We start from the raw sequence: 16,104 nt of genomic DNA, 5'->3' as shown, positions 1-16,104 counted from the left end.
GTCTACATAGTATTTTATTATAATAAATATATTTGAACATTCAGACTATTTCTAATTTTTCACATCCCTTGGCTGAACCCACTTAAGGGACATTTATATAAGTTTCATATAAACTTTTAGGAATTAAAAGCTCTGATCATCCCTTTTTGGTTAATTTCTAGAAGAGAAATTGCAGGTCGAAAAGTCAATTTTTAAGGATTTTAAAAAATAATTTTAAATTGCCTTCCCAAGATTTGCATTTCTGTCAGCAGTGTAGAATAGGATTTGTTTCCCTCTTTAATTTTTCTTCACCCCTGCCAACATTGATTATTATCAATTAATAAAATGGAATAAAAATGGCAATTGTTATTTTAACTTGTATTTTTGACTCCCAGTGAAGTTGAATGTTTTTATATAATCTATCTGCAAGTATTTTTAAGAATGTTAATTGCTTGGCTGGGCGCAGTGTTTCACGCCTGTAATCCCAGCACTTTGGGAGGCTGAGGCAGGCAGATCACTTCAGGTCAGGAGTGCAAGACCAGCCTGGCCAACATGGAGAAACCCCATCCCTACTAAAAATATACAAATTAGCCGGGCCTGGTGGCACATGCCTGTAATCCCAGCTACTTGGGAGGCTGAGGCAGGACAATCGCTTGAACCCAGGAGGTAGAGGTTGCAGTGAGCCGAGATGACACCACTGCACTCCAGCCTGGGTGACAGAACAAGACTCCATCTCAAAAAAAAGAAAAAAAAAAGTTAATTGTCCTAATACTATTTACTGAAAATTTACTCTTTTGTGTTTTTTTGTTCTGTCTGTCTGCTCTTGGGCTAATACCACACTATTTAAACTATTCTAGTGAGGCAAATTTTCTCACATTTTTAATTTTTCCTCAAGTATTATTGGCTACTTTTGCTTTTTTTAATGTAGAGGGTTTTTGTTTTTAGAGACAGGGTTTTACTCTGTTGCCTAGGCTGGGATGCAGTGGTGTGATCATAGGTCACTAAACCCTCAAACTCCTGAGCTTCAGAGATTGTCCCATGTCAGCCTCCCAAGTAGCTGGGACTATAGACAGGTGCCATCATGCCCAGCTAATTATTTTTTTAATTTTAGAGATAGAGTCTTGCTAGGTTCCCCAGGCTGGTCTCGAACTCCTGACCTCAAATAATCCTCCCACCTCAACCTCTGAAGTAGCTGCAATGACAGGTGCAAGCCACTGTGTTTGGCTAGAGTCTCATGTTTTTCTAATTCCAAAAAAGTTCCATAATGATTTTGATTCAGATTGTATTGAGTTTACACATTAATTTAAGAAGTGACATCTTCATAATACTAACTTTCCCCAAAAAGAAACAGGGTATGTTTTTCCATTTATATGAGTGGGGTTTTTTTTGTTTTGTTTTTACGTTTTGTAGTTTTCTTCATATAGGTTTTGCCAGAGGTTCCCAAACTTTCTTGGTTCATGGCATCCTTAGTGTCTCAGTAATTTTTTCATAGCACCCCTGGGCTATAAGATATACTTAATATTTCTGCTTATTAGGTAGTTAAACAATAAGTATTTGCGTCCTAAGAACTTAATAATCATTTGAAAAAATTATATACATAAATCGAAAAAATTTATTCTTAAATAATTACAGTTTCTTACTAATGAGATATTTGTGTCTGCATAACCTCTCAAACCTTGGAATCAGCTTGGATATAGCCACCCACATTTCTTGTTCTTCATTGAGTTTTCACAGAAACTTCAAAAATCTAGCTTGCAAAGACAGGACATTTTCAAAAGGAATGTAGCACCATTCTAACGTTAAACTGTGAACTACTATGAACTATCTAAAGCTAGTAGTTCACATAGGGTCACAGATACCACATATAATAGTGCTTCTCTCAAAAATTTAAAATATCTTGTAGTGCTTCTGGGAGTTCATCATGGTGCCCTGAGACACAATATAGTTACGGTGAGATTCTGCCAATTTCTTCATGCTTATTTCTAAATATTTTGCATTTTTTCTTGCTACTCTGAATGGGATTTTCCCCTATGATATTTTTTAACTCTTCATTTCTGGAATCTATGAATATTGAGTTTGTTACAGGCAAGTCTGGCTGGGTCCTTGAATATTTATGACTATATGGACCTTATACAAACAGGCACACAAACACATATACAATTAATGTAGTTAATTAACCCCCTTAAGGGACAGTAGCCTCATTTCTGACATAACTTTAGGATAGAGTCTAGATACAGAACAAAAGGAAGAACTGGGAAATTATTGGATATTAGGAGAGGCTAAAAATAGAAAGGCAGCAGAATCTGGGAAGCAGAGATGCAAAGTCACAGACCAACAGCAAGGGCAAAGAAAAAGAATTGATGGAGGGCTGGAAATGAAGAAGGGAGCAGGAAAATATGGGGGCAGGAGGAAGTATTTTAAGAGCCACTATGGGGTACTTATTTATTATTTCAATTTATAAAACTGTGCCCACTGCCAAGCCTTCTGGGTACACGTGGAACAATAAATAATATATGCCCATCTCTACTTCCAACTTTGTATTTTTCCTTTCTTTTATTAGTTGCATTCCCCATCTCCCATTTCCCATTATCAGCTATCACTCCTAATCCCCTGCCAGGAAGACAGATGAGTGACTCCCACTAGATCCACAGGATGCTTTCTGGACAACTTGGTCAGCATTTCACTTCTACACACATTCCACCTTCCCCTCCAGAGGACATATCCAGGGACCCTTGTGTATATACTTGATATTTATGAAGGAGTATGAATGGGAGTTCAGTATTTTGACCTTTGCTTCATCCTACCTTAGAAGAGGATTTTTGACTTGAGAAACTAAGCTGAGCATTCTCACTACCGCTCTGTTTGGATATTCTCTTCCTACGTAAAATTGTCTAAAATTGTTGATATGATGCCTTTTGCTCATTATAGAGATATACATTGACCTTGCTTTTAAGAAACTTGTTCTAGAAAATAAGAGAGGGCATCTAAAATCCGAGGGCCATCTATAACATCAAACCTTTTCCTTGTTTGCTTTAGTTTAACTTTCTTGTCAACCCTTAGAGGTAGATATTATTATTCCCATTTTGTAGAAGTTATTATTATTTCTAGAGTCACACTCCTGTGTGTATCAGAGCAAGGATTTAAATCTATCTGCTTGGCCGGGCGCGGTGGCTCACACCTGTAATCCCAGCACTTTGGGAGGCCGAGGCGGGTGGATCACAAGGTCAAGAGATCGAGACCATCCTGGCCAACATGGTGAAACCCCGTCTCTACTAAAAAAAACAAAAATTAGGCCGGGCGCGGTGGCTCACGCCTGTAATCCCAGCACTTTGGGAGGCTGAGGTGGGCGGATCACGTGCTCAGGAGATCGAGACCATCCTGGCTAACACGGTGAAACCCCGTCCCTACTGAAAATACAAAAATTAGCCGGGCGTGGTGGCGGGCGCCTGTAGTCCCAGCTACTTGGGAGGCTGAGGCAGGAGAATGGCGTGAACCCGGGAGGCAGAGCTTGCAGTGAGCCTTGATTGCACCACTTCACTCCAGCCTGCCAATAGAGCGAGACTCCGCCTCAAAAAAAAAGAAAAAAGGCTATCTGCTTAATTCCAGATTTCGCTCTTTCTATTAAACCATGTTGCTTCCAGGTAAAATAGGCACCAAGCTAAGAAGGAAAGACATATGAATGAAGAGTATAAAAGGAAGCACATAAAGCCCTGGCATTAAATATAAGCTTTCAATACACTTTTAGCCGCCTTTTATTGGTGATTATTCTTTTAATGGCTTGTTGTTACTGTGTTTAACATTCATAATTTGACATGGCCATATCCAATAGGTACAAGATAACAGATATTATTGGGAAAGAAGAGGGAATTGGACCCGAGAACCTTCGAGGTTCTGGAATGATTGCTGGAGAATCCTCATTGGCCTATAATGAGATCATTACCATCAGCCTGGTAAATCTTTCCAGAATGTGAAATTTTTGAAGAACTGGCTGTGTGGCTAGGTTTATTTTTTTCTCTTATCACTGCTATTCAGTCCCAAATGAGAGCATTTCTTGAAGATTGTATGTCTATAATTATATTTTAATCACACATGATAATAGGAAGATAGGATAATATAAATAACTGAATTTTTCAAACAAACCCAGCACTTTGTTTTAGCTTTTAGTGTAACTTCTTTTTATTTTCTTTCTTTTTTTTTTTTGAGATGGAGTCTCGCCCTGTCACCAGGCTGGAGTGCAGTGGCACGATCTCAGCTCACTGCAACCTCCGCCTCCCGTGTTCAAGCAATTTTCCTGCCTCAGCCTCCTGAGTAGCTGGGACTACAGGCGAGTGCCACCATGCCCAGCTAATTTTCATATTTTTAATAGAGCCGGGGTTTCACCATGTTGGCCAGGATGGTCTCAATCTCTTGACCTCGTGATCCACCCGCCTCAGCCTCCAAAAGTGCTGGGATTACCGGCATGAGCTACCACACCTGGCCCCTCTTTCCTTTTTTTTAAGAGACAGAGTCTTACTCTATCACCCAGGCTAGAGTACAGTGGTGCAATCATAGCTCACTGCAGCCTTTACCCCCTGGGCTCAAGTGATCCTCCTACCTCAGCTTCCAGGTAGCTAGGACTACAGGCATGTGCCACCACCTCCAACTAATTTTTAACTTTTTTGTAGTGATGGGGGTCTCACTATGTTGCCCAAGTAGGTCTTTTTTTTTTTGAGACAGAGTCTCACTCTGTTGCCCAGGATGGAATGCAGTGGCGTGATCTCAGCTCACTGCAACCTCTGCCTCCTGGGTTCAAGTGGTTTTCCTGCCTTGGCCTCCCGAGTAGCTGGGATTACAGGCACGTGCCATGACGCCCGGATAATTTTTGTATTTTTGCTAGAGACAGGGTTTCACCATGTTGGCCAGGCTGGTCTCAAACTCCTGACCTCAAGTAATTCACCAGCCTCAACCTTCCAAAGTGCCGGGATTACAGGTGTGAGCTGCCTCGCCCGGCCCCAAGGTAGTCTTGAACTCCTGGGCTCAAGTGATCCGCCCACCTCAGACTCCCAAAGTGCTAGGATGATAGGCATGAGCCATTGCACCCAGCCTGAATTTTGCATCATTGTATTTTCTTTTCTTTGACCATGAAATTTGTGTGTGTGTGTTGTTGTCAATCAAATAGACTTCATAAAAAGCAATGTTTATTTCTGTTAATTTGGATTTTACTTATCTATGCCTTAGTTCTTATAGCTTCAGAGAGGACATAAATATGTGACATGTAGAATTTATTCTTTTCTAAGGTGACGTGCCGGGCCATTGGGATTGGGGCTTACCTTGTCCGGCTGGGACAGAGAACCATCCAGGTTGAGAATTCTCACTTAATTCTAACAGGAGCTGGAGCCCTCAACAAAGTAAGTTTCTAGGGTTTTGAAGAAGTATGCATAGCTGATTGAAGATTATTGTGTGAATTCTTAATTCAAGATCCTGATTGGAAGGAAGCAGTTCAATCCGTGCCTTCCTCAGTCTATCTCTTCCCCTCTCCCTCCATCTTTTCTGCCCATTGACTTGCTTGCCTTTTTATTCATTCATTCATTCATTCATTTCATTTATCAACTATTTTGAGTACTTACTGTTTTCTAGGCACTGTTCCAAGCCCTGTGTATATGTTAGTGAACAAACCATATAAAACCGCTGCTCTAAAGTGCTTATGTTTTAGTGTCGTTGTAGAAAGACAGAATTAATTGAACGCTTCTGTTCTGTCCCACTTCTCTCTTTTTCTTAATCTATTAGTAAAAGATGTGAGGAGATCTATACACAGACATTGAGCTGTCTCTGATTCCAGCTGTGCTGGTTCCCATTTCAGGCCTACATCATGAATTAGGTACCGGCCTAGGTGTTGAGACTATCAAGTTTTAATGATTTTGTGAAATCTGTAAATACACCTCTCGAAAAGGGCACCGATGGTGGTCTCTTGTATATAGAAGAAATATTTGGCAAATATTGAGTGGGAAGATGGGTGGATGGATGCATGGATGGGTTACTGGGAAAGAGTATGCATAAAGATTTATCTTCCCTTCCAAAGAAAGATTTGTGCCTTTTTAGTCCAACTTCACAAGGGTTTTTCCAAAGGGGAAAAAAATGGATGGCAAGGTCACTGCTCGAAAGAGTGAAAACTATCCAAGAATACCTGAATGTATAAAGGACAGTGCAGTTCTGACATCTTTGCAAGCATAGGAAAATTATTTTCTCTTCAGGGCCAGAAAAGTATAATGGAATATTCTGAGGCTGACTGCCCTTGTGCAACTTATATAACCTCTCAGCTCCTCAGCTTTCTTATCTGTCAAAGGGGGATAATAATTTAAACCTTTAAATAATGTGGAGCTCAAATGAGAAAACATAAGTAAAAGTACCTAGTTCTACTGGGCATGCCTAGATTCCCAGCTACTCAGGAGGCCGAAACAGGAGGATAGCTTGAACCCAGAAGTTTGAATCCAGCCTGACAACATAGTAAGACCCCATCTCTTAAAAAAAAAAAGAGTACCTAGTTCTTGGCAAAAAGTGTTGGCCCACATTCAAATTTCAGTTTCCCGTTCCTCTCTCTAACATGATTTGGTGATTGAGCTTATGGAGTTAATACACATACTAAATTGTATCAGATATTATGTTTACTCCACTTGCAGGAACTTTTTATCAAGTCTTGACTTTCAAGTTTAAGGGTAAGAATTAAGTGTTCTGTCATTCCCATTTAGGAAAAAGTTGATAATTCCATTGGTTTAATTAGATTTTGTGGATGTCAGAAATTAGAGGAATCATTTGATGCGATCAGCTTGCTCTGTGCATTCATATGAACTCTGTATCCTCCTCTGGGCTTGCTTTTCTCATCAAGGAAAGGCACAGCAGTGCTAACAGTGGCGAACTTGGCTGTCTTCCTCCCTTTTTGGAGAGTAGCCTGGAAATAAAGGTTGTGAACCACTACTACTGAAGATTATTATTGCAGTGGGAGAAACTGCTGAGAGTCTTAAGGTTGTTGTTTTTTTTTTTTTTAAGTTGCTCTTTTGGATACCTTCTTAGGATGAGATATTGATGAATGCCAAAGATAATTTTAGGTACCATTATCTATGAGAACAGAATTTTTGAAAGATTTTAAAAATTCTGTTCTCATAGATAATGGTACTTTAAAAACCTATATTTCCATGATGTTCCCATACCCAGTCAGAGAGCTAATTTCTGAAATATATCTTCTTATATTGAGTTTCTTTCTCCCCCCTGCCCCGATACTATATTATATACAAAGAATATTACAAAAAGCAGATGTTGGGTTTTTGGTTTTGTTTTGCTTGAAAACTTGCTAGTTGAATTTCATTTGTGCCATGAAGAAACATTAGAGATTGATTTCTTAAAATCTGATTGAATTGTTCTAATCAAATTCATTATATTCACTGTCATAGCTTACAGGGCTGCTTGTTAAAACAAAAGCTTAGTTACAGGGTGAAAGATAAATAAAGCTATAGCTTTAACTTACCAAACAATGCTCACTTCCAAAAGGGCATATTTGTTTTTAGCTGAAGGGAGTGATCAGATACAGAGGTTACCTAATGTTGCTCTGCCTGCTTCACTATCTTCATGTCAGCTCCTCTTAAGTATAGAGCTGTGCTGCTGAAGACACCCGATTTTATGCAAATTCGTTCAGAATATCCTATTAGCCCCTTTGCCTATAAGGTATGAAAAAAGGAAACTACCATGCTCAGATGGCTTCCTCTGACTCACTCCTTCTGTGTGTTGTCTTTGTGTGTGCTGGTGTTTTTCTTCATCTCTGTTTGCCTTTCTTTCTGTAGGTATCTCTCTGTATTGTGTACTTTGGGTGTGTGCAAGTCACCCTGAGTGCATGTCTCTTTCTGTGTGGGTGCTGATCTTTCTGTCTCTTTGTGTCTGTGTCTTGCGTATAGATCCCCCTCTTTCTCTGTCTGTGTGCCGCCCTGTGTGTTCATGTGTGAGAAAGTCTTTGTGTTTTTGAAACATTATAGAGCCTCCTTTCTTAAGCCTTGGCCATTTTGCTCATAGTATGTACCTGTGTAAGGTGGAAATGTAGGAGACATGCAAGCTTATATACAGTCTTAGACTGTAAATATTTGACCCCCACATTTTTGAGTCTTCATCCTTTATGTTAAACATTGGGGTGAAGAATAAGGAGTGGGGGTGTTCAGAGGTTGTAGGGGAAAAAAATCTTGTGTGTGCAAGTGCCGATCCTGTTGACCCCTTTGAAAATTGAAATAATGATAATGCACGTCTCCTGACTGCATCAAAGTATCAGCACATCAAAAGCCAGGAGGCATGAAATGCAAATGATAAAGTGAAAGCAGATGGATTGTGCATGATCGCCTGATGCCCAATGAATTTTAAAAGGTGCTGGTTTGCAGGAAGGGGGGTTGGGGGGTTTTGGGGGGGACTGAAATAAACACGTTATCCCTGCAATTTTTTTTTGTTCTTGATGCTCACTCCTGACAATATTTTTTCACACTTGAGTGAACACCCTCTCTCTCTCTCTCCCCCCTCCTTCTTCTCTCCCTTTCTCTCTCCTCTCCAAATCCCCTCCTCTGCCCCCCCCTTCCCCCCCACCTCTTACACATCTCAGGTCATGTCGCTGCAGCTCCGGTGGAAATAATAAGATATAAACCACGAGGTTGTTATTTGCATAGAAATAGCATGGAGCCCCAGGCAGCAAGGGAGAAGGACACAGGGATGATTTGTCTAAAATTTTAATGAAAACTTTTGCTGAGGCAGAGATTTTTAAAAACTTTCTTTCTCCCTGCTTTTCCCCTTCCTTCCCCTACCCCCCAAACCCCATCATTGATTTTACTTAACATGGTTCAGTTTGAAGAGAAAAGGTTGACACTCCACATATCATACTCCCATAATGCAGCAACCTGTAAATTGTTTCTTCCTTTAATAGATATGAAGCTGAAGAGACATGCATTTTCAACTTAATACATTGCATGTGTGCGCCTGGCTTTTATGGCTATACTCCATCTTGGCATACACATGATGTTGCCTGTCATTAGCCTGTTTTTAATTAGTTTACACCTTCCTATCTTTTGCTTCCAAAGACTCTTACTTTTTAAAGGATTTCTTTTTATAGCCAACAGTAGTAACCTTCATATAAAATAAATATTTTCTGGTGTTTTCCTGTTTTTTTACTTTTGGTGGTTTTTCTGTATACTTACATGTTTTATTCATGGACGCCATCCTTTGCCACTGTGTCTTTTATTCCAAAACCAGGAAGTGCTTCCCACCTTCGTATTTTTATCCTTTTCCCCCTGTGAACTCACCATTTGTGTATCTTCTTTCCATGTCTGTCTTGCTTTGTTGCCTGCAGTTATTTGTAAAATATTCAAAATATTACCCAAATTGAGATGAGTTGTAGTATCTGGATTTTATTGAGTGTTACTAAGCACATTTGACATTAGAACTAAAGGCAGTAGGCTGGTGATTAGAAGCAGCCCAAGTGGGTTTGCTTGAAATTCAGTCAAGAATATCTGTCTGGTTCCTTGCTATCTTCTGGAATGGGCTAATGGTATCAGGGCTATATTTCGTAGACAGGAAGGCAAAAACAGAAGGGAAAGTGACTTAGTTTCATTGAGAGAGACTAGATCAGGGTCAGAACATGAACTTTCATGTCCCTAAGTTTCACTGAAGAAAGCTCAGGCCTCTTTGCTTAGTGGTCTGTAAAGCCTAAGAGAAGGTGGTCCGGTCGTTTTCCTGTTTGTCCAAATGTCGTGAGAATGATGACATTAATAAGAGAAGTTTCTAGGGGCTTGCTATTTCATGTCACTCAAGGTAGTAGATCCTAACTCTAGGAACTGTAGGCTGTGGGTGACAGATTCCTTAAAATGCCTCACTGCGTGGCAGACCTGATGTGTGTGGCAAATTACCCTGCTTGAAGGGAGTCATGCTGGCCTGGCAAAGGCAGTAACCTGTGTACTTGGGGAACTGTTAAGATGCACCCTTAAGGAGCTGAGATGATTGCAGAGTCATAAACTCTTAAGTCTATTTGCCACTGGACATTTGCAGAGATGATCATATTTACTTCCCTCCTCCCACCACTCTTCCTCTCAGTTTCCTTTTTACTTTATTTTTTTCTCCCTTTCCTGGTAAAAGTATTAGTATGTTTAACATAGTGTTAGGTGGCAGATAGGCTGGGAAGAGCTAGTATTGTAAAGGAACACTGATGTGTACTGGAGCCTACTAGCTCTCAATCCATTGCCCCAGACTTGGGGAGAGAGAGCACATTCTCTATCCAGAGAAATAAGAATATGCAGTTTATGGTTGTCCTGTGGACATTAACTGACTGTGAAGGTAAGGTATATGCCAAAGGCAGTGATATGCAGGTGATAGATTCACCAGGAGATGATATGTGACTTTTCTTGTATTTTAAAGCTCTGCTTCTTTTTTAGAAAAAAAAAAATCCTATACTCTCATCCCCCTTAGCGAGATCAGGCCCCTATTTCCACTGAATCTGCCAGGAAAAAAGAAGTTATGTGATGGGTATGACTAGGGCCATTAGTTTGGTAGGGGGCTAATTCTGCTAATCTTGCTTTTGAGACTTGGTGCAAGTAAGTTACATTTCTCTCTGGTTCTCATATATGTATTTTTCTGCAGCTATGCAGTATGAAATGTGAAGTTGTCATAGCTGACTCTGTTAGGCACAGTACCAGAGTTCCTCTCAGGAGTGGGAATTGTCTGTTACACCAGGGACCTGCACTGTGTAGTCTCCATGCTCACCCACCCATGACTCTGTGAAACACAGCATGAAAGTCATGGAGGCTCAAGAAGGGAAGGAGAGATTACTTAGCTCTCACTGTGGGGCGGGCAGCATTGTAACTTTCACATAACTTAAAGAGGTTACGATAGAGACAGCGCCGGGGCAAGCGAGAGCCAGACAGGCACTGGGTGACTCTGTGCCTCGCTGTGGAAAAACAACTAAACATGGGCAAAGGAGATCCTAAGAAGCCTAGAGGCAAGATGTTGTCATACGCATTTTTTGTGCAAACTTGTTGGGAGGAGCATAAGAAGCATCCAGATGCTTCAGTCAACTTCTCAGTTTTCTAAGAAGTGCTCAGAGAGGTGGAAGACCATGTCTGCTAAACAGAAGGGAAAATTTGAAGATATGGCAAAGACAGACAAGACCCATTATGAAAGAGAAATGAAAACCTACGTCCCTCCTGAAGGGGAGACAAAAAAGAAGTTCAGGGATCCCAATGCACCCAAGAGGCTTCCTTCAGCGTTCTTCCTGTTGTATTCTGAGTATCGCCCAAAAATCAAAGGAGAACATCCTGGCTTGTCCATTGGTGATGTTGCAAAGAAACTGGGAGAGATGTGGAATAACACTGCTGCAGATGACAAGCAGCCTTATGAAAAGAAGGCTGCGAAGCTGAAGGAAAAATACGAAAAGGATACTGCTGCATATTGAGCTAAAGGAAAGCCTGATGCAGCAAAAAAGGGAGTTGCCAAGGCCGAAAAAGCAAGAAAAACAAGGAAGATGAGGAAGATGAAGAGGATGAGGAGGAGGAAGATGAAGAAGATGATGATGATGAATAAGTTGGTTCTAGCACAGATTTTTTTCTTGTCTATAAAGCATTTAACCCCCCTGTATACAACTCACTCCTTTTAAAGAAAAAAATTGAAATGTAAGGCTGTGTAAGAATTTTTTTAAACTGTATGGTGTCTTCTTTTGTATAGTTAACACACTACCAAAAGTGTCTTTAGATAGCCCTGTCCTGGTGGTATTTTCATAGCCACTAACCTTGCCTGGTACAGGATGGGGGTTGTAAATTGGCATAAAAATTTTAAGCAGGTTCTTATTGGTGCACAGCACATGTAAGTTATATATGGGGTTGGTAGTTTTTTCATTTTCAATTGTCTCTGATGCAGCTTATATGAAACAATTGTTCTGTTAACTGAATACCACTCTGTAATTGCAAAAAAAAAAAAAAAGTTGCAGCTGTTTTGTTGGCATTCTGAATGCTTCTAAGTAAATTACAATTTTTTTATTAGTTAAAAAAAAAAAAAAGATGTTATGAGCATGGAGAGGCTAGAGCCAGGCTGCCCAGGTTTAATTCTTGGCTCTACCACCTACTTAGTTGTGTGACCTCGGGCAATTTATTTAACCTCTCTGGGCTACAGTTTTATTAACTGTAAAAGATGAGTAATAATAGTATCTGTGTACCAGAGTCGCTGTGAGAATTAAATGAGCCAAAATAGGTAAAACATTGGCACTGCCATAGTCTTCTCTAAGGTTCATTTAGGGTTCCTTCTCATTGCAATTTCTTATCCTGGTTCTGGAAAGGAAATACGAACACATTATTCTCTATACTTTCTGATTCTTTGAAGGCAAAAATTTCTTCAAGAAAATGTTAGATGACAGTCCTCACTGTGGCAGTACATTCATGTATTGACTTTCCCAATAGATGTATCTAGCAACAATCAACGCACTTTGGAAAGCCATTAATGTGAGAGGCACGATGTTCAGTCGTGACAGGGTAGTATATATGTCAGTCATCTGTCTACAAGAGTCCCCAAGGACTCGTTGATACAATAGCTCATAATCACTCTAAGGATCAGTCTAGCAATTTGCATTTTTAAAAGTCCCTAACTACCTATTTTCACAATAGACAGTCCCTGTACTCCCATAGCTCCAGATGGGATCACTCTCCTTTCTAAAGAGGGCATTTTAGCTTCCTTTCTGAGTAATCCTTGCTTTAGCATTATGAATGAATTCTCAGAAATTATTGCACAATGGACAGATCTCCCTAATTTTCAAGCGCTCCCTCCCCACACATAAAATATTGGTAAATCTGGCCCCATTTGGGGGGATTATTTTGTTTGTTTTTCATTCAATATTCCTCAAGTTTGGTAGAAAACTATACCAGGTTATGTTTTGACTCTATTAGTCTGCCTTAGTGACCTGCCAACAATCCTGAGTGCTCTGGTTTGGAGATCTTGCAGGGTGGAATCGCCACACAGAGCTCCACTGCAGAAGTTGTCTCTGACTCTAAGAGAGCCCATGCATATATGGTGGCTTAGAGTCTAAGAATTTGGGAGACCCTACAGCAAGTACCAGTCCAGAGCTTCTAGATAAAGTGAAAGCTCTGAGACTCTATTTGGGGCATTGAATACAGACTCGGAAATTATCATGTTTGACAACCTATTATGAATGTGCTCAAATTTTTTGGAGTTACAGAACCTTTAGATTAAAAAAAAAAAAACAAAAAAAAACAAAAAAAACTTGGCCAGGCATGGTGGCTCATGCCTGTAATCCCAGCACTTTGGGAGGCAGAGGCAGGCGGATCACCTGAGGTCAGTGGTTTGAGACCAGCCTGGCCAACATGGTAAAGCCCTGTCTCTACTAAAAATACAAAATTAGCCAGGCGTGGTGGCACACACCTGTAATCCCAGCTACTCAGGAGGCTGAGGCAGGAGAATCACTTGAACCTGGGAGGCAGAGGTGGCAGCGAGCCAAGATTGCACCATTGCACTCCAGCCTGGGCAAAAACAGCAAAACTCCATCTCAGAAAAAAAAAAACAAAAAACTTTTGATTGTTCTTCTCCCTGACATTTACTAGGTAAGCAACTTTGGGCTTTAATCTATTTAGATGTTAGTTTCCTCTTTGTGAAATGGAAGGCATAATACATTTCCCATTTTAAAGTAGAAAATCAGGTTGGCGTGGTAATCCTATAATCCAAGCACTTTGGGAGGCCAAGGAAGGAGGATGGCTTGAGGCCAGGAGTTCAAGACCAGGCTGGCCAATATAGCAAGAAGCAAGACCCCCTCTACAAAATAATTAAAAAATTAGCCAGGTGTGGGGGTGCCTGAGATGGGGAACCGTGGAACCTTTGGCAGTGGCATCCAGGGCTGGGACCATGGCCGTGAACAGGGCCTGGGCCCCACAGAGCTCATGGAGGCAAGGCTGAGGGCAAGGAATGGATGACCAAGTTGGGCCACCTGGTCAAGGACATGAAGATCAAGTCCCTGGAGGAGATCTATCTCTTCTCCCTGCCCATCAAGGAATCTGAGATCACTAACTTTTTCGTGGGGACCTCTCTCAAGGATGAGGTTTTGAAGATTATGCCAGTGCAGAAGCAGACGCGTGCTTGCCAGCACATCAGGTTCAAGATGTTTGTTGCCATCAGGGACTACAATGGCCATGTTGGTCTGGGTGTTAAGTACTTCAGGGAGGTGGCCACTGCCATCCATGGGGCCATCATCCTGGCCAAGCTCTTCATTGTCCCCATGCACAGAGGCTACTGGGAGAAGAAGGCCCACACCATTCCTTGCAAGGTGACAGGTGGCTGTGGCTCTGTGCTGGTGCGCCTCATCCCTGCACCCGGGGCACTGGCATCATCTCGGCCCTGGTGCCCAAGAAGCTGCTGATGATGGCCAGTATTGATGACTGCTACACCTCAGCCAGGGGCTGCACTGCCACCCTAGGGAACTTTCTCAAGGCCATCTTTGATGCCATCTCTAAAACCTACAGCTACCTGACCCCCGACCTCTGGAAGGAGACTGTATTCATCAAGTCTTCCTGTCAGGAATTCACTGACCACCTCATCAAGACCCACACCAGAGTCTCCATGCAGGGGACCCAGGCTCCAACTGTGGCTACAACACAGAGTTTTTACATAAGAAAAATAAAGTGAATTAAGCCTGTTTTTGGTTTGCTTGTTTTTTTTAAGTAGAAGACCAGAGGATCTCTTAATCTTAAATTCTGTTCAATATCTAGTATTCTGTGATGCTATAAAGATGCATATTGATCTGTAGCCAGGGAACTGTTTTAGGCTGGGGAGTGAATAGATAGGAGGTGGGGAATTTTTAAAGTTATTGCGTATTAGGGTATTATATATAAAATTACATATTAGTGATATATAAAATTATTACATACTCGTGAGACCAGGAATGGAAGTTGAAGAGCATGATGATTTAAAATTTTTTTTAATTTTGTTTCTTATCCAGATTACAGAAAAGTAAACACTATATGTTGTTCACAATCACAAGTGGCTGTAGAATTATAAATCTTGAGAGTGGGAGGATCCTCAAAAGTTCAACCACACAATTGTTGTGTGAATCTCCTCTGTGACACCATTGCTAAATATTCACCCAATTATGTGTGAAAAATTCAACTGAATGGGAGCTGAGTACTTTTGGAGCCAATCCCATTCATCTATGTATTCATCTGTGAATTCTTTTTTATATTTGGCTAAAGTCTGTTTCCCTGTACAGAGACTGATCACTCTTTAAAGACAGTGTTCAAATTTAACAAAGAAACTCCCAGTTTTGTGATATGACCAATTGGAAATTGAATGGAACCAAAATCTTTCTCATGTACTTTTGTGTTCAGAGTCTGGTCTTGTCTCAAGAACAAATGTAGTGAAGATGAAAATGCTATTCCAAGATAGAAAAGAAATTGGATTCATAAATAACTTTGCCAGTTAAAAATGTGAAATAAGTAGAAGAAACAAGAGAAACAGTTAAAACTTAATTCCACTTGGAAGTACTCCTTGGAACCTTAGGGGTCTCCTGCAGTGCCATGCAGTACCTTCGGAGCCCGATTATCTCCTGCTTTCTCCTCCTCTGCCTTGTTGAAAGTCCAGATCCTGAAATAAGGTTGGAGGATATTTCTTTTTGACTGCTATATTTGTAGATACCAGCTAAAACTCATTGGGCCTAAGATTTGGTGGAATCAGTAAAGGTGATGTAGACTTAGGTACTCAAACCCCAAGGGTACACAAACACAAGCTAAACTGCTAGAATGTATTACCCTCTTGCCTCAGTGAACAGTCTCTGGCTCACTTCATCCATGTGGACCTTCATTATATCTCTACCCTATATCCATTGTCCATTTCCACCTCCAGGGTTCTGATGTGTCCTGAGTATTAGAATGAAGAAATGCCTCTACCTCACACTTTGGGTGGCATGTAGGGTCTCTACACTGTCTGTTTCTAATAAAACATTGTCTCTGAACTCAAGCTAAGGGCCCACTTAGCTCTGTACACACGGTTCCTTAGGAAGATTGGTTTCTTCGTCTTCTTCATTTTATATTCAGTTGTGTGTTACACCTTCATATGTTGAATTTTCTTCACCTGTCTCTCTTTCTA

The 16,104-nt window shown here is 40.8% G+C and overlaps 1 protein-coding gene and 2 pseudogenes across 26 annotated transcripts in view, besides 1 other annotated feature; all 3 read left to right on the top strand.

The window, feature by feature from the left end:
- ACACA (acetyl-CoA carboxylase alpha) overlaps positions 1–16,104 on the top strand; it is a 321,845-nt gene that overhangs the window by 251,607 nt on the left and 54,134 nt on the right. For 25 of the 26 annotated variants that reach the window (XM_011524701.2, XM_006721853.2, NM_198834.3 and 22 more), the window contains 2 exons: positions 3,809–3,929; positions 5,256–5,366. In XM_011524701.2, the coding sequence (XP_011523003.1) occupies positions 3,809–3,929; positions 5,256–5,366 (232 nt within the window). Of the gene's footprint in view, positions 1–3,808; positions 3,930–5,255; positions 5,369–16,104 lie in introns of those variants that run through there. The other variant, XM_047435894.1, reaches the window with a different exon arrangement.
- On the top strand, positions 10,851–11,769 carry HMGB1P24 (high mobility group box 1 pseudogene 24; annotated as a pseudogene).
- Positions 12,360–12,861: an enhancer, noted in NCBI's record as "NANOG hESC enhancer chr17:35499293-35499794 (GRCh37/hg19 assembly coordinates)". NCBI's record gives its function as "activates a minimal SCP1, AML or CMV promoter by ChIP-STARR-seq in naive H9 embryonic stem cells {active_cell/tissue: H9 hESC(naive)}" and the evidence as "EXISTENCE:reporter gene assay evidence [ECO:0000049][PMID:30033119]".
- RPS2P49 (ribosomal protein S2 pseudogene 49) lies at positions 13,817–14,661 on the top strand (annotated as a pseudogene).

This window comes from Homo sapiens, chromosome 17 (genome assembly GCF_000001405.40).
Source record: "Homo sapiens chromosome 17, GRCh38.p14 Primary Assembly".
Taxonomy (NCBI): domain Eukaryota; kingdom Metazoa; phylum Chordata; class Mammalia; order Primates; family Hominidae; genus Homo; species Homo sapiens.
Note: the sequence above shows the minus strand (reverse complement) of the source record. Positions and strands in the feature narration are given on the sequence as shown.